Below are 19,430 nucleotides of genomic sequence, written 5' to 3'. Positions count from 1 at the left end.
TATTAAGTAATCCTTATTACTAGACATTCCCTCAATACTAAGAATATAAAACAAAACAGAACATCTGCTCTCTAGGATACCTGTTAAAATAGTCCTCTGCACCTTGAAATCTTGAGTAAATTATCTCAATGTTTTTTGAAGGAATCAGTTTCCTCTTGTATCTTTTTTTTTTGCTATTAAATGAACTAGTATAATACATTAAGAGAAGGGGCTTTGAAGTCTGCATTTTTAAGAACTCTATTCAAATCTTCTCCCAGCAATGACTTGTACTATAGAATAATAACAGCTTTCTCATCTATAAACGTCTTTCTCATCTATACAATAAAAATAATAATGTTTCATCCATAAAGTTTTTTTCTCAAAGTAATTCAAAGACTAGTATCTATCTATCTATGTATCTATGTATCTATCTATCTATATTTTTTGAGAGTCCCACTCTTTTGCCCAGGCTGGAGTGCAGTGGTGCTCCCTCAGCTCACTGCAACCTCCGCCTCTTGGGCTCAATGAAAAATATACAGAAAGTAAAGAAATATTAATTTTAAAAAATCTACTAAATCTTGGCAAAAGCAGCAAGAGCTTGTGGTATTTGAACCAAGACACATTCCCCGCTTTGCCCTCCCACATCAGCAAGATGCAAACTCCACTCCAGATTTGTACAGCTAAGAACACAGGGTTGCCTCTAATCTCAGCTCCAGGTCAGAGTGCTATTCTCCTAGGAAGGGCAGGACATTAGCATTTCTCATGCTGCTCCTAGCTACTTGTTCTGAGGTTAAATTCTGTGTAAGTATAATTGAGAGATGAGAGCTCCTTCCTTCCCACCCCCACAACCTCAAGCCCCCCATGCATGGAACAGAGACTCTAACTCCTTGAGCATAACTGCACTAGAATATTGGAGCCTGTCTTTCCCTTGGCTTGTAAGGTAGAGATTCCAGGCTAAGAGAGGCAAGCTTATAAGGCCTGAAGCTACTGCCTGTGCCCTTCTATTCAGTATTCAGCTTCCAAAACAGTGGAACTGCTACTCAGAGAGGGAAATGCACATTATCCCTATGCCCAGGTCCAGAACTATGGCTCATAGATTTTGCCCAGGGTGGGAGAATCAGGCTATAAAAACAATCTGAATCTCTTCCCAAGAGGACTGACTTCATTTGCAATACAGTGGGGAAAATTTTAAGCCTAAATACGATCTCAAAAAAGTGGGGATTGTAGTGACAGGCAATTGGGAGAAAAGTGGTAGATTCTTTGGGGATATAAGCTAAAATATTGACTGGCTAGTTTGTCAGACAGAGCCACAGAAAGAGACAGCATGGAGGAACCCTTCATAGGCCAGACCAAATTTCAAACACTACCTCTGAAGCTATTCCTTCAAAGAAGTCTGCATTTGACTGGATCAGTCTGCTGAGAAATTCATACTCCAGCACATTGCTGAAAACAATAGAACAATAATCTGGCAATTATTGGGCTTAACAGCTGGGTGTGGTCAGGGAAAGAGTCAAGGAGATATCTGTCAAAACTACTGTCATTCTAGTGTGATCACAGACTCTTCAAGTCCAAAAAACAGCATTAGAAGTTCCCTGAGCAGGAAGGGGTTTGGTAGGTAACATACTTCACTAAAATAATTCAGTCAGTCACTAAACAAATAAAAATCAATAACAATTTCAAGCCCTGGAGGGGAGGAACAAATACCCAGAATTGCTATATTATCTATAATGTTCTTTGCAACAAAAGTTACAAGACCTACAAAGAAAAAGAACATATGATTCATATGCTGGAAAAACACCTCACATACTATAAACTACCTGTGTAAATGAGCAGATATCAGGTTTGACAAAGATTTCTAAATAGCCATTATAAATATCTTCAAAGAAAACTATGATAAAATAAGTAAAGGAAGGTGTAATGATAATGATGCAAGAAATAGAGAATATAGAGACAGATTTTTTTTAAAAAAAGAAACAAATGGTAATTCTGGATTTGAAAACTTAATTACTGAAGTAAAAAATTCACTAGAGAGGCTCAACAGTATATTTGAACAAGCAGAAGAAAGAATTAGTAATATAAAAAATTGATAAAAATTATGCAATCTGAAAAACAGAAAGAAAGGAACAAAAAGAGTATTTGAAGAAACAATAGCTAAAATATTACCAAATGTATTGGAAAACATTAATTTATGCATCTAGGAAGCTCAACAAATTTCAAGTAGGATGAATGTAAAGAGATTCACAGACAAGTCATTGTGAAAATGCTGAAAGCCAAAGGCAAGGACAAAAATCTTGAAAGCACCAAGAGAAAAGTGACTCATTATTTACAAGGGAACTTCAAGAAGATTAAAGTTAAATTCTCATCAGAAACAATGGAGTCCACAGATGGGAAGGGAGGTAAAGACAGGATGGATAACACAATCAAAGCACTCAAAGGAAAAAAAAAACCTTTCAACCAAGAATCCTATGTACAGCAAAACTATCAAAATTGAAATAGGAAAATGACATTAAAAGATAAACAAAAAGTGAACTGATTTGTTGTTAGTAGACCTACCTTACAAGAAATACTTAGGAAAATTTTTTAGGCTAAAAGCAAGTGACCTCATTTTTCTTTTCTTTGATTTCTAATTTTTTTTTACCGTAATATCTCACAAGACAGCCAAATATACTCCTGTAAAGACAAAAGTAATGCTAGTTCTGTGATTCTCTCTGCTCATATGAATCCATAAGCTGCCAGCAACAGACAGAAAGAAGCTCAGTGAGAAGTCTGACCTCATTTTTTGAATCCACACAGATAAACAAAGAGTACCTGAAAATGTAATTATGTGATCACAAGAGTATAAACACATATTTCTTCTCTTGACTGATTTAAAAGGCAACTGGATGAAACAAAATAAAATGTATACCATGAATATAGAAATGTAATACATTTGCCAATAACAGCACAAAAAAAGTGGGTGGAAACACAGCTCAATTAGGCTATGAAAGTGACTCCATATGGTAACTCAAATCTACAAAAACAAATAGATCCAGAAATGATAAATAAAAAGGCTAGTATAACAAAAGCTATAAATATATACTTGTTCTCCTCTCCTTTAATGGCTTCTTTAAAATGCTTAAATTATATTGAGTAATAATTATAATCATGAAATGTTGAGCTTGAGACATTTATAGAGTGAAATATGTATAATAATAGTATTATAAAAGAAGAAAGACAATGGTGCTACAAGAATAACATTTCTGTATCATATTGAAATTAAGTTAGTGTAAATCTGAAGCTAATTCAAATAAATTGAGATATATATGGAACAAGCACTAGGGAAATAACTCAATCTGTGTAGTAAAAAATCATTTAAAAATAGTATGCTACATAAGAAAATATTCATTTAATGCAAAGAACATAGTAAAGGTGAAATAGAGGAGCAAAAACAGTACAAAGCAGAAAACAAAAGTTAAAATGACAGATGTAAACCCAACTGTAGCAATAATAACATTAAATGTAAATGGATTAAATAATCCTATCAAAACACATAGATTGTCAGACTGGGTTTTAAAGAATAAGATCCAACTTCATGTTCTCTGCAGGAGACACATTTTAGATTCAAAGATACAAATATATTGAAAGTAAAAGGATGGAAAAGATATCATGCAAAGAGCAACCCCAAGAAAGCTACAGTGGCTATAGTAATATCAGACACAATTGATTTTAAAACAAAAAAAATTGCTAAAGAGTGAAATTTTATGTGTCAATAAATCAGAAGACTATAATAATTATAAATTCATATCCACCTAACAAAGCACCAAAATACATAAAGCAAAAACTGACAGAAATGAAGGAAGGCCAGGTGTGGTGGCTCATGCCTGTAATCCTAGCACTTTGGGAGGCCAAGGCTGGAGGATCCTTTGAGGTGAGGAGTTTGAGAAAAGCCTGGACAACATAGTGAGACCTTGTCTCTACTAAAAATTAAATTATATTTAAAAAATAAATGAAGGAAAAATAAATGATTGGATAATATTAGATAAAGATCTCAATATCCCAGTTCCAATAAAAGATAGAATAGGCAGAGGATCAACCAGAAAATATAAAAGTAAAATGAAAATATAAACTGAGTGAACTTAATAGACATATATAGAATACTTCACCCAACAGCAGAATATATATTCTCTACAAATACATGTAGACCACTATCCAGTGTAGATCATATGCTAGACCATAAAACAAAACTTAATAAATCTTAAAAGATAGCGATAAAACAATATATGTTCTTTGACCACAATGGAATGAAACAAAATGGGCAAACTCATACTTATGGGAACTCTAAACAACATGTGTCTTATTAGCGAATATGTCAAAGAAGAAAACATAGGGAAATTAGAACATATTTGAGATAAGAGAAAATGAGGAAACAACCCACGAAAACTCAGGAGAGACAGTAGAGCAGTGCTTAGAAGGAATTTATAGCTGTAATTGTCTGTGGTAAAATAGAAAAAAATTCCCAACCAATAACCTAACATTTCAACTTAAGACACTGGTAAAAAAGAGGAAATTAAGCCTAATGCCAGAAGAAGGAAGAAAATAATAATAATTAAAGTGGAAATTAATAAAATCAAAAATAGAAATACAATAGGAAAAATTTGTAAACCAAAAGCCAGTTATTTGAAAATATCAATAATGTTGACAAACTTTGTCAAGATTGCTCAAGAAAAAAGAGACTAAGAGAAGATTGAAATCACTAATCAGATTTGAGAGGGGACACTACCATCAACTCTACAGAAATAAAAAGAATTATAAAGAAATACTATAAAATATTTCATGCTAATAAATTAGACAGTTTAGATAAAAATGGACAAATTCTCAGAAAGACACAAAATATGAAGACTGACTCAAGAAGAAATAGACAATCTCAATAGACCTTTAAGTGAAGCAAATGAATTAGCAATCTAAAAATTACACACAAAGAAAGGCCTAGTCTCAAATTGCTTTACCACTGGATTCTACAAAATATTTAAAGAATTTATACCAAATCTTCACATATTCTTTCAAAAAATAGAGTAGCAAGGAACACTTTTCAGTTCATTTTGTGATGCCAGTATGATACTGATACCAAAACCAGAAAGAGACATAAAAAGCAAAATAAATTACAGACCAGTTTCTTTTATGAATATAGACACAAAAATTCTCAACAAACTACTAATAGCCTAAATTCAGCAACAGATAAAATAAATTATACACCATAACTAAGTGTGATTTATCTCAAGAATGTAAGTTGGTTTAATATCCCCAAATCAATTAATGTAATATACACCACATCAATTGAATAAAAAATGAGGCAAATATTAATCTTAATAGACTTTATAAAAGCATCTGACAAAATTCAACATCTTTAATAATAATAACACTGAACAAACTAGGAATAGAAAGAAACTTCTTCAACACGATATAGGGCACATACAAAAACCCACAGTTGATATTACATGTAATGGTGAAAGAATGGATGCTTTCCCCTTCAGATAAAGGACAAAACAAGACATCTACTCTCACAACTTCTAGTCAACATTGTACTAGAGGTTATAGCTAGGGCCACAGAAAAGAAAAAAAAAAGCCATCTAGATTGAAAAGAAAAAAGTAATCTCTATTCAGAGATAAAATATCTTGTATAAAAAGATGCTAAAAAAATCTACCAAAAAAAGATAAAAACTCTTTTAGAACTAATAAATGACTTCATTGTAGTTGTAGGGTAGAAAATCAACATACAAAAATATATTATATTTTGATATGCTTGTGATGAACAATCAAAAAATAAAATTAAGGAAAGTCTATTTGTGATAACATAAAAGAGAATAAAATACTTAATAATTAAATAAAATAACAAAACATATGTCCTGGAAACTATAAAACAATATCAAATTAAATTAAATACCTAAATCAATGGAATAGCATTTCATGTTCATAAACTGGAAGACCTTATATTATTAAAATGGCAATACTCACATTCCATGCTCATGGGTAGGAAGAATCAATATCGTGAAAATGGCCATACTGCCCAAGGTAATTTATAGATTCAACGCCATCCCCATCAAGCTACCAATGACTTTCTTCACAGAATTGGAAAAAACTACTTTAAAGTTCATATGGAACCGAAAAAGAGCCTGCATCGCCAAGTTAATCCTAAGCCAAAAGAACAAAGCCGGAGGCATCACGCTACCTGACTTCAAACTATACTACAAGGCTACAGTAACCAAAACAGCATGGTACTGGTACCAAGACAGAGATATAGAGCAATGGAACAGAACAGAGCCCTCAGAAATAATGCCACATATCTACAACCATCTGATCTTTGACAAACCTGACAAAAACAAGCAATGGGGAAAGGATTCCCTATTTAATAAATGGTGCTGGGAAAACTGGCTAGCCATATATAGAAAGATGAAACTGGATCACTTCCTTACACCTTATACAAAAATTAATTCAAGATGGACTAAAGACTTACATGTTAGACCTAAAACCATAAAAACCCTAGAAGAAAACCTAGGCAATACCATTCAGGACATAGGCATGGGCAAGGACTCCATGTCTAAAACACCAAAAGCAGTGGCAACAAAAGCCAAAATTGACAAATGGGATCTAATTAAACTCAAGAGCTTCTGCACAGCAAAAGAAACTACCATCAGAGTGAACAGGCAACCCACAAAATGGGAGAAAATTTTCGCAACCTACTCATCTGACAAAGGGCTAATATCCAGAATCTACAGTGAACTCAAACAAATTTACAAGAAAAAAACAAATAACCCCATCAAAAAGTGGGTGAAGGACATGAACAGACACTTCTCAAAAGAAGATATTTATGCAGCCAAAAAACACATGAAAAAATGCTCACCATCACTGGCCATCAGAGAAATGCAAATCAAAACCACAATGAGATATCATCTCACACCATTTAGAATGGCAATCATTAAAAAGTCAGGAAACAACAGGTGCTGGAGAGGATGTGGAGAAATAGGAACACTTTGACACTGTTGGTGGGACTGTAAACTAGTTCAACCATTGTGGAAGTCAGTGTGGCGATTCCTCAGGGATCTAGAACTAGAAATACCATTTGACCCAGCCATCCCATTACTGGGTATATATCCAAAGGACTATAAATCATGCTGCTATAAAGACACATAAACACGTATGTTTATTGCAGCACTATTCACAATAGCAAAGACTTGGAACCAACCCAAATGTCCAACAATGATAGATTGGATTAAGAAAATGTGGCACATATGCACCATGGAATACTATGCAGCCATAAAAAATGATGAGTTCATGTCCATTGTAGGGACATGGATGAAACTGGAAACCATCATTCTCAGCAACCTATTGCAAGGACAAAAAACCAAACACTGCATGTTCCCACTCATAGGTGGGAATTGAACAATGAGAACACATGAACACAGGAAGGGGAACATCACACTCTGGAGACTGTTGTGGGGTAGGGGGAGGGGGGAGGGATAGCATTAGGAGATATACCTAATGCTAAATGATGAGTTAATGGGTGCAGCACACCAACATGGCACATGTATATATATGTAACTAACCTGCACATTGTGCACATGTACCCTAAAACTTAAAGTATAATAATAATAAAATTAAAAAAAATAAAAATAAAATGGCAAAACTCCTGGTTATGAGCTGAAATGTGTTTCTGGCCCACCTTCCCACCAAATTTGTATGTTGAAGTCCTAGATCCCAGTACACTAGAATGTTACTGTGTTTGGTTATAGGGCCTTTAAAGAGGTAATTAAGTAAAAAGTCATATGGGTGGGCCCTAATCCAATATGACTAGTGTCCTTATAAAAAGAAGACATTAAGACATGAATGCTCATAGAAGGAAGACCACATGAAGTCAGGGAGAACATAGCCATCTACAAGCCAGTAGGAGAGGCTGCAGAATCCATAATATACTCAGAATCTAAGCACATCTTGATCTTGAACACCTGGCCTTCAGAAATGTGGGGAAATAATTTCTATTATTTAAACCACCCAGTCTGCAGTACTTTGTTATGGCAGTTATAGTGAACTAATATAACTCCTGAAATTTATCTACAGATTCAAAGCAATCCATACCACAATCTCATTTGGCTTCTTTGTAGAAATTGTCAAGCTGATTCTAAAATTCATGTGGAATTACAAAGAACCCAGAATAGTAAAACAATGCTGAAAAAGAACAAAATAGGATTCACCACTTCTCCATTACAAAACTTGCTATAAAGCAACAGTAATCAACATATTGTGCTACTAGCATAAAAGTAGGCATAAAGATTAACACAATATAATTGAGAGTCTAGAAATACATTCATGTACCTATACTCTGATTTTCAACCAGGATGCCAAGACCATACAATGTAGGAAAGAATAGTTTCTTCAAGAAATAGTGCTGGGACAACTAGATAGCCACATGAAAAAGAATGAAGTTGGACCCTTACCTCACACCATATATACTAATTAACTCAAAATGTATCAAAGACTTCAATGTAAGAACTAAAAATATCAAACTCTTAGAAAAAAACATAGGGATAAATCTTCATGGCCTTGAATTTGGTACTGAGTTCCAGGTATGCAAATAACAATAAAAGAGATAAACTGGACTTCATCAAAATTAAAAACGTTTGTGTTCCAAAGGACACCATCGTGAAAGTGAAAAAATAATCTACAGAAGAAGAAAAAACAATTTGCAAATCATATATCTAACTGGGCATTTGTATCAAGAATATATGAAGATAGACCAATGGAACAGAATGAAAGTCCAGAAATAAAGTCAAATACTTATAGCCAACTGATCTTTGGGAAAGCAAACAAAAACATAAAGTGGGGAAAGGAAACCCTATTCAACAAATGGTGCTGGAATTATTGGCAAGCCACATGTAGAAAAATGAAGCTGGATCCTCATCTTTTACCTTATACAAAAATCAACTCAAGATGGATTAAAGACTTAAATCTAAGACCTGAAACCTTAAAAATGTTAAAAGATAACATTGGAAAAATCCTTCTAGACATTGGCTTAGGCAAAGAGTTCATGACCAAGAACCCAAAAGCAAATGCAACAAAAAACAAAGATAAGTAGATGAGACCTAATTAAACTAAAAAGTTTCTGCACAGCAAAAGAAATAATCAGCAGAGTCAACAGACAACCCACAGAGTGGGAGAAAATCTTCATAATCCATATATTTGACAAAGGACTAATATCCAGAATCTACAAAGAACTCAAACAAATCAGCAAGAAAAAAACAAGCAATCCCATCAAAAAGTGGGTGAAGAACATGAATAGACAATTCTCAAAAGAAGATACACAAATGGCCAACAAGCATATGAAAAAAGTGCTCAACATCACTAATTATCAGGGAAATGCAAATCAAAACAACAATGCAATAATATCACCTCATTCCTGCAAGAATGGCCATAATCAAAGAATCAAAAAATAATAGATGTTGGCATGGATGTGGTGAAAAGGGAACACTTTTACACTGTTGGTGGGAATGTAAACTAGTACAACTACTGTGAAAAACATTGTGGAGATTCCTGAAAGAACTAAAAGTAGATCTACCATTTGAGCCAGCAATCCCACTACACCCAGAGGAAAAAAAAGTCATTATATGAAAAAGATACTTATACATGCATGTTTATATCAGCACAATTTGCAATTTTGAATACATGGAACCAGCCCAAACACCCATCAAGCAATGAGCAGATAAAAAAAAAAAGTGTTATAAATGTACCATGGAATACTACTCAGCCATTAAAAGGAACAAAATAATGGCATTTGCAGCAACTTCAATGGAGTTGGAGACCATTACTGTAAGTGAAGTAACTCAGGAATGGCCAACAAAACATTGTATGTCCTCACTCATAATTGGGAACTAAGCTATGAGGACAAAAAGGCATAAGAATGATACAATGCACTTTGGGGACTCAGGAGAAAGGGTGAGAGGGGGACAAGAGATAAAAGACAACACATTGGGTACAGTGTACACTGCTTGGGTGATGGGTGCACCAAAATCTCAGAAATCACCACTAAAGAACTTATTCATGTAATCAATAACCATCTGTTCCCCAGAAACCTACTGAAATAAAAAACAAATTAAAAAAAGATGAAATTTTAGAATTCAATAACAAAAAGCAATCTGATTAATAAACAGACAAAGAATCTGAATAGACATTTTGCCAAAGAAGATATAAAAATGGTTAGTAGGCACATGGAAGGATACTTGGCATCATTAGTCATAAAGAAAATGCAGGCCAAAATCAGAGTGAGACACTACTTGACACCCAACAAGATGGCAAAAAGTTTTAAAATTCAGATAATAACAAGTATTGAGAAGGATATGGATAAATTGCTCATACACTGCTGGTGGGAATAAAAATAGGGCAACCACCTTGGAAAATACTCTGACAGATCCTGAAGTGGGTTAAATACAGAGTTACCATATGATATATGTATGTTTCTTAAAAAGGAATAGCTCAGAAAGGTGTCAATCAAAAGATCAAATCAGCAAACATATGGTATACATATATCACATGGTAAATCTGTGTTATATACTATATAACATATGGTAACTCTATGTTTAACCCACTATATAGTTATTCTACTACTAAGTATATATCCAAGACAAATAAAAACATATGTCAAAAAAACACAACAATGACAAAAACTTCTACCAAATATTTATAGCAGCATTATTTATTTATAGTAGCCATAAGGTTTAAACAATGTCTATCAACTAATAAAGTGTGGGATAGTCATATAATGGAATATTATTTAGCCATAAAAAATAATAATGTGATATATGCCACAACATGGATGAACCTTAAAACATGCTAAGTAAAAGATGCCAGTCACTAAAGAGCATGTATTATATGATTCTGTTTATATGAAATGTCAAGAATAGGTAAATCTATAGAGGCAGAAGGTAGATTAGTAGTTGCTTAGGGCTGGGAGGCCTGGAAAAATACCTAAGAGTTACAAGATTTCTTTTGGCCGGCGTGGTGGCTCATGCCTGTAATCCCAGCACTTTGGGAGGCTTAGGTGGGAGGATCACGAGGTCAGGAGATTGAGACCACCATCCTGGCTAACACAATGAAACCCCATCTCTATTAAAAATATAAAATATTAGCCAGGCATGGTGGCGGGCGCCTGCTGTCGTCCCAGCTACTCGGGAGGCTGAGGCAGGAGAATGGCGTGAACCTGGGGGGCAGAGCTTGCAGTGAGCAGAGATCGCGCCACTGCACTCTAGCCTGGGCAACAGAGCGAGACTCCAGCTCAAAAAAAAAAAAAAAAAAAGATTTCTTTTGTAGGTAGGTAAAAATATTCTAAAATTCACTGCAGTGATGGTTTCACATATCTTTAAATATACTAGAAACTGTTGCATCGTCCACTTTAAATGGATGCATGTATAGCATATTAATTATATCTCAATAAAGCCATTTTAAAAAAAGAAAAAAGATAATGTAGGTAAATTTCTTAAAAAATAATTTTGTTGTCTATTTCCAGTAATATTTCCTAGCAGCCTTTGGAAGCAGCTCCTGATACAGGTTGTTTATTTGCTGTCATAGGGATACTATAGAGGGACAATACTACATAGATGAAGTCAAGTTTTCTTCAAATCCTCTCTCCAAGCTTATTTATCATTCCTATTTTTCCTTTTTCCTGCTCCAAAAGAATGCTTGTTTCTTCCTTTCATTTACAGATTAGAAAAATTTGTCAGTGGATGAAAACTCTTGATGATTTCCATAATCTGTCCTTGCCAAAGGCCGTACTGATGTTACATGCTCTGTTTCTCATTCTCTCCTGGCTTACAAACTATTTCCTGCTGTAGTATGCTTTTCTGATACAGAATTAGGAGGAAAATAACAGAAAAAGGACAAGAGGTATGAGTCTGCAATCAACAAGGGACCCATTCACCTAGTTTCCCAGGAACAGTGAAGCCAGGGAGAGTTAGCAGCTGTAGTATGTAAGAAAAGAGGAATTTAAAAAGTATGGTGATAGAATTCCATCATGATATTCAATCTTTTAAGTAAAAAACTTGATAACTTATTTTGAAATTAACCTTTGTTTGCTGATTTGATCTTTTGATTGATACCTTTCTGAGCTATTCTTTTTTAGAAAAATACATGTCCAATAGACTCTCTACTAGCTTTTTGTACACCTGCTTCAAGTCTTTTCTAATTGTTTTTTTTTTTTCATACTATATTTTGGACATTTAACCACTTGGTTCAAGTAGTACTTTTTCTTTCTTTTCAGATGAATAATGTTAACTTAAGTCCTAGCCAAAAAAGAGACAGTGAGAAATAGAAAGAGTAATTGAGCAAGAAATCTGTGTTTTAGTACAGTTTTTACATAAATATCTTTGTGTCTTTGGACTATCTGCTGAAATTCTTTGAGTATCAAGTTTTTTACCTGTTATCTGAGGACAATGTGGTCAGGGCTTGCCTGAATAGACCTCAGCAGGTATATGAACAGCCAGAAATTTTATGCACAATTGTCTCAGGACATATATTTATTTTTTTAAAAAAATTAACTAATTTTTAAATTAATGGATAAAAATTATATATATTTATCAAGTTCAACATGTTTTGAAATATGAATCCATTGTGAAATGGCTCAGTTGAGCTAGTGTACATATGTCTTACCTCACATAGTTATTATTTTATAAAGAGTACACTTAAAATCTATATTTTGGCAATTTTCAAGAATATACTATATTGTTAGTAACTATAGCCACCAAGTTGTACAAGAGGTCTCTAGAATTTATTCCTTGTAACTAAAATTTTGTATCTTTGGACCAACATCTTTCCAACCCACTCCCCCAACCCAGAGTCCCTGGTCATCACCATTCTATTCTCTGCTTCTATGTGTTAAACTTTTTAAATCATATAAAGAGTTCAATCTACATGTAAGTGAGATCATACAGTACTTGTCTTTCTGTGCCAGGCTTGCTTATGGTTTGTTTTTATCGAGAAAGAGATTGTATAGCTTTCAAATGATTTTCCAGTAGGAAAATGATTTTCTTAAAAAGGCCAAAAAAACAAAAACCCTCTGAACTCAGTGTTCTAAGGTCTCTTTTAATTGTAAAATCATAATACCATTTACTACACTACATTGTTTCTGTCTTGAATATTATTCTGTCTTGAATTATAAGAATATTGCTTACCTCTAGCCACACAAACTGGGATTATTTCTCAATTTATGCAATGTTGAGTTGACTATAAAAGAACTGGTTAGAAAATTACAAACTTGTGGTTAGAATGTCCTATTACTTATTTCTGCCTCTACACTCCTTCATTCACAAAGGATTTGTGATTGCTCCTGTACTGGTATCAAAAAAGAAGTGCCACTTAGTTCTGTTTTTTCAGTTGTGTATATCTGTATGTTTTTTCAGTGAAAGGGTCATAATATATCATTCAATTTAGCCCTGAATTTTGAAGATAAGGAAATGAAAATAAACTGGCCATTTCACTGACTTATGTAAGACTGCATTTGTAGTCCTGAGCTGCCCTGGGATCAGTACTCATTCCACCAATCTTTCTGGTCCATCTAGGGCCTTGTTTTGCATTCTGCTCACAGTTTACAGTTTTATCTTATACTTGGATAGTCATTAACTATATTGCCAGAGAAAGTAGAAGACAGTGGAAAATATGATAATATGATTCATTTTCAGTAGTGGGATGATATTTCATTTCAAAAGCATTTGTGCTGGTATAGCTTTGAAGTTGTTTCATATCTGGTGATGTGGTAATTTAAATGAATCTTCACTACTGACTGATACCCAGATTATATTTGTTAAGCCAGAAAGCATAGACTGTGATTTTAGTCACAATTGAACTATAATTCTTATCTTTAGTGTCTTAACTAACACTTTTTCTACAGATGTTTGGGATGTGACTCAATACACAAAATAGGGAAAGTAGAAAGGTCATTGTATGTGTAATGGTATTATACTGGTGAAAAGTAATTGCAGTTTTTGTCATTGTTTAATGCTATACCTTATACTCATAACCTTATAGTCATTGCTATACTTTATATGCCATTTCTTAATGGCAAAAACTGCAATTACTTTTGCACCAACTTAAATCAATGCAGAGAACACACTTTTATTTTCCTTGATGTCTGTAGTTTAATCAAAATGACCTCAAAGTTTGAAGACCTTTATTTTTCCCAGGTAAAATCTAGCCAGGTTGGGTGAGTTGTGCAGAAAACTAAACTGCATTTCTCCAGTGAGACATTTTGGGATAATATACTGTTTGAACCTTGTTTATAGGGAACAAGGGAGTGTTTTCCAGATGATTGTTTCTGATATAAGCAAGAAGCACTCATAAAAGAACAATCCACATACATAAGTAACTTTTATATGACCAGCTGTAGAAGGATGTAGAAAATTTAAAATACTCCTGGAGGCTTAAAAAGGCATATCAGTCAGTGTTCTGCCAGGAAAAACAAAATAAAATAAAACAAAACAATTTTTTAAGACTTTCAAACAGAAGAAATTCAATACAAGGAGTTGTTGATAGATGACATGGAAAAACTGGAAAGCCTGAGGTTGGGACAACTCAGAGATTAGCCACAGCAGGAAGCCCTTACCTTCTTAATGGATAGATAAATCACAAGAAGAGATGTTATCACCGGAACCCAGAAACTGGGACATCTGGCGAGAGGTAAAGCCATGGTACAGGCTGCCTGGCAGGAGCTACAACCATGGATAAAACATAATCGCTGCAGGAATAGCCACTGCAGGCAGAAATATCCCAGCTTTTCTCCTCCTCCCTCTTCCTAATTTTCCATTAATTTCTCCCATTGATAAAATTATTAGAAAGCCAGAGAGTAGAAAGTCTGAGAAATGTAAACTAATACAAAAGAGGACAGAGCAGGGAAAGGCTGGTGAATGAATCTGAGAGCAGATAGGCAGAAGGCAAATACTGGAAGACCTATATGTAGAAACAATGCCAAATGCTAAAATATTAGATGGCAACATCAGAAAATATGTAACCAAGTGCTCAAAATTATACAGATGGGAACTAAAACAGAAGTTAAGACATGAGAAATGTCTCTGGTTGGAAAGGATATGGGTGCAGAAATCAAGAAAGTGGAGATGAGACAGAATTTGTGACTTGATTTGACCAGGAGAAAAAGCAGGGAGATATTAGAGGGTAGAGGTATAGCATAAAAAAAGGCAAACATAAAAATTATCCTAAAGTATGAGATGAGGGTGGAGAAGGAAGGAAGTAGGTGAGATGGTCAGCAAGAAGAACCGAAAAATAATTCCTTCCTCTCATCTTCCCTCTTCCCTCCTTACTTCCTTTCTCCACTAAATCAACAAATGTTGATTGAAAACCTTCTGTTTGCCTGGCACTAATAAGTAGCCTGTAGAGGGTACAAGATGTATGGTGTTAAACAAAAATGTCTATCTCTTACCCTTGGAGAGTTTACAGTTTAGATGTAGCCAAATAGAAATAGAAAATAAATAAAAAATAATCAGTAAACAAACAAATAATGTAATTTCAAATTGTGAAAAGGGTATAGAGGAAACCAACAGGGTGAAGTCAAACAGAATAATATTCAGTAGTAAGAAGGAGACCAGGGCTTTGATCCCTCATGCATAAAACGTTAATATTTTGGTCATATTTCCTGGTGCTGTAAAAAGTGATTCATTGCAGATTTTTGACCAAGGAAGTGACAAGAAAAATGATATTTTTGGTTCTTCTGATAGACTTACTGGACTCACTATATTAGGTGGCCAGCAATATAAACAAAAAGTGAGTTTAGACTGTCAGAAGTTGCGGTCACAGGGAGAAAACAAGTAGCAGCAATATCTTAAGACTTAATGACAAACTTGAAACCAGGTTTAACCCTTTTCCCCTTTAGAAAAAAAAAAGAGTGCAGCTCACTGCTAGTGCTCATTTAATTTTACATAAACACACTCTTTGAGGCTGAAACAAAGGTGATAGCTTTTCAATGTGAAAATAAAATATAAAAACTGATCTTGGAGTTATTTCTAAACAGAACTAACATCAAAATCATCTCAATCATCAGAATTGTCTGTTTTGGAAAAATCAGATTCATGAAATGAATCTTCTGCCAACAGCTGTTTGGGAACGATGTTAACATCACACACTTCCAAAAGAAATCTTGTAACTCTTAGTTATCCTTCCAGCCCCCGAACCCAAGCCCTAAGCAACTACTAATCTACTTTCTGTCTCTATAGGTTTTCCTATTCTTGACATTTTATATAAACTGAATCATATAATTCATGTTCTTTAGTGAATGGCTTCTTTTACTTAGCATAATGTTTTTAAGATTCATCCATGTTATAGCATATATTAGTACTTTATTATTTTTTATGGCTAAATAATATTCCACAGTGATTTCCTCCACTTTATCGGTTGATAGACATTGTTTCAACTATATGGCTGCTATAGATGTTTGAAACAAGTTATGTTTTTATTGTTGGATATATACTTAGGAGTAGAATAACTGGGTCATATGGTAACCTATGTTTAACCCACTTGAGGATTTGTCGGACTGTTATCCAAGGTGGTTGCCCTATTTTATATTCCCACCAGCAGTGTATGAAGGTACTAATTTCTTCAAATTTTAACAGCGATTGAGAATTACTATATTTTGTAAATGGAAATACCACTACTAAAAACACAATGCTATAAATAGAATGATGTCTTTTGTTTCCAAAGTTGATATACTAGAGCAATGTAAAAATAATAAAAGCGAGATATTTCATGGCAAAATTATCACAGGTTAAACGCTGCAGCCACAAGCACCACCAGTGAGTATTTTCAGGGCAAATGGGAAAAGGACCAAGAAGAAAAAGTTTAATAAATTTAACTTGAGAGGCCAGAATAATAGTAATGCCACTAACAAAGGAAGAGAAGTTGGGAAAAGAGGCAGATTTATAAGGGAAAACAATCAGTTTTGAACATAATCTTAAAGATGATGTCCATTGAAGACAACTGGTGACTTAGAAAAGTGATGCAGCTGATTCTGATGTGATGGATCCATTCACAAAGTTAATAAGGAGAAGCTGGGCATAGTCAGGGTATTCTTAAACACTGAAGTTACATAATGTCATGCTTTCAGAGCAATGACAGACAAAAGATTGGATTGTTTTCATTCAATACGATAATTTATTACTTTTTATATTTTTGTAATCTTATCACAACTTCTACTGAAACCTGAGAAGTATCTTACTAGATTCTCAGAGACTATTCCTGGAACACAGCAATACTCAAACTCCTTATTGACAAGTGGATTATTTGAATTGTGCAGATCTCTGAGAAGGTGAAGATACTTTTCAGAAACATTTGGGCACTGAGTCTTTCTTTCCCTGGATGGTATGTGGCATTGCAGATGCTGACTTTGATACAAAATCAATAAAAAAATGCAATCTGTTAACATTCATTTAAGTAAAAGTGCATAGATTAGGAAACTGTTGCAGACACTGTTAGTACTCTACCCATCTCTAATTGGGTTTCTTTGCCGTTGTCATATGTGTAAGCTCCCAGTCAGCTTTCATTCCTAACAGCCAACACCTGTGTCTCTTGGTAGACGGATGCTTTCAAACATTCAGATTCCATTTTTCTACGTGCATGGAGATCTAAAATTGCCTAGGAATTTACTCCTCTACCTCACCACTATGGGTGGTGTATAAGCAATGTCTGGTCAGAGATGAATAACTCAACTCTCTTGCCACTTGACTTCGGAGAACTGACAAATAACCCACATTTTCTCCAGAGTTCCCCTATGGGATTAAAAAGATTTTCTTTAAAATTTTATTGTGGTAAGAACATTTAACATGAGATCCACCCTCTTATCAAATTTTTAAGTGTAAAATATATTATTGTTGCTTCATATAGGATTGAATCCAAGTCCTGCATGAAACATAGCATGACTTGACACCCATTCCTGGCATCTTTTCCTTCCTGATCCCATTTTCCTGCTTCCCTAAACAATTTTTCCTGGGAACACTTCCTACTAAAACACTTTCACATGAATCCTCATTTCAGAGCCTAAAACCAACCCAAGTCAGAAGGTTGATTAGTTTTTTTATTTGCTGCTATAATAGGTAACCACAACCTTGGTGGCTTAAAATAACAAAAATTTATTAACTTATAGTTCTGAAGTCCAGTATGGGTTAAAACCATGTCACTGTACTAAAACCAAGACGTTTCAGGAGTGCATTCCTCTTACAAGACTCTGGGGGAAAGAGTGTTTCCTTACCTTTTCCACGTTCCCAAGGCCATCCATGTTTCTCAGTTCCTCACTCTTTTTCTCCATTTTCAAAACCAGCAAACGGTAGTAGATTTCACAGCACATCGCTCTGACTTCCTCTTCTGCCTCCCTCTCTCACTTTAAAGGCCCTTCCTGATTACATTGAGCCTACCTGGATAATCCAGGCCAATCTCCTTATCTTCAATCAGCTGACGAGCAACTTCAATTCTATCTGTAACCCTAATGCTCCTTTGCCAGGATACTTAACACTGTTCTTCTCTTCCTTCTTCAGAATCTCACTTACAATAAGTTTTATTTAATGATTCTCCTCCTTATACTTTCTGTCTCACCAGTTTCCTCTCACACTGATTTACCTGCTACACATAAATATTCTTATTGGGCTTATGTGCCTTTTCCTCCACTTATTCAACCTCTCACCTGGATAGATGCTTCTGCAGAAATCTACACTAACAATAGTGTGTGGATGCCTGGAGCCACAGATAACTGTTGCCCTGCCCAACCAGGAGAATAAGACACTGCATTTAATGTTACTATGGGTTATAAATACCACCCTCTGTGCCTTGGACATGCACCTGGTTGTATACATCTAGAAACTCAAGTCTGGGCTGCTTATCTTCCTGAAAGTTCAGCTACAGATAAAATGAGACATTTGGTCTCTGGCCTCTCCCTTTCTCCTTTAAAACAAATGAAAGGAGGAGTAATGGGAGATACCCATACTTTCCATATAAACCTGCAGGAAAACCGTGCCCTAAAAATTTTGAGGGCCCATCTAAAACTTTAATTTGGGAAGATTGTGTTAACTCACATGCAGTAATATTAAAAAATGACTCATATGGTTTAGTAATAGACTGGGCACCAAAGGGCTATTTAAAAAACAATTGCTCCTCTGGTGGAAGGGAATGCCTGGAGGCTACTTATTTTATTTCTTATCAAGAGAACGAGAATCATCATTCTACTTTGCATAGGAGGATCAGCTCATTCTTTCCCTTAAAATGGGTAGATAAAGGCATTACACCCCCCAACCCCAGGCCTCATATGATACTCCCCATTCTGAGCCCAGAACACCCAGAACTTTGGAAATTGGCTATTGCCATGTCTGGACTGTGAGTGTGGGAAGGGAAAACTATTCTGACTGTTGTTCCCACTACCATCCCACTCAGTATCAATGTAGACC

General features: G+C 34.8%; 1 long non-coding RNA gene and 1 other non-coding gene across 2 annotated transcripts in view; both read right to left on the bottom strand.

Annotated features, from left to right (window-relative positions):
• The window catches only part of PCAT4 (prostate cancer associated transcript 4), a 35,777-nt gene extending 17,400 nt beyond the window's left edge, over positions 1-18,377 (bottom strand). Inside the window, exon 1 of the long non-coding RNA NR_026555.1 lies at positions 18,245-18,377. This is a non-coding gene — a long non-coding RNA (prostate cancer associated transcript 4). The remainder of the gene's footprint in view (positions 1-18,244) is intronic.
• Positions 2,620-2,746, bottom strand: LOC124900174 (small nucleolar RNA SNORA75). Its single transcript, XR_007058522.1, has one exon. It is a non-coding gene; the product is annotated as a small nucleolar RNA SNORA75 (small nucleolar RNA).
• Positions 18,378-19,430: the final 1,053 nt, after the last annotated feature.

Source organism: Homo sapiens, chromosome 4 (assembly GCF_000001405.40).
Source record: "Homo sapiens chromosome 4, GRCh38.p14 Primary Assembly".
In the NCBI taxonomy this organism is placed as follows: Eukaryota; Metazoa; Chordata; class Mammalia; order Primates; family Hominidae; genus Homo; species Homo sapiens.
The sequence above is the reverse complement of the archived record's forward strand: the minus strand, read 5'-3'. Positions and strand labels throughout refer to the sequence as shown.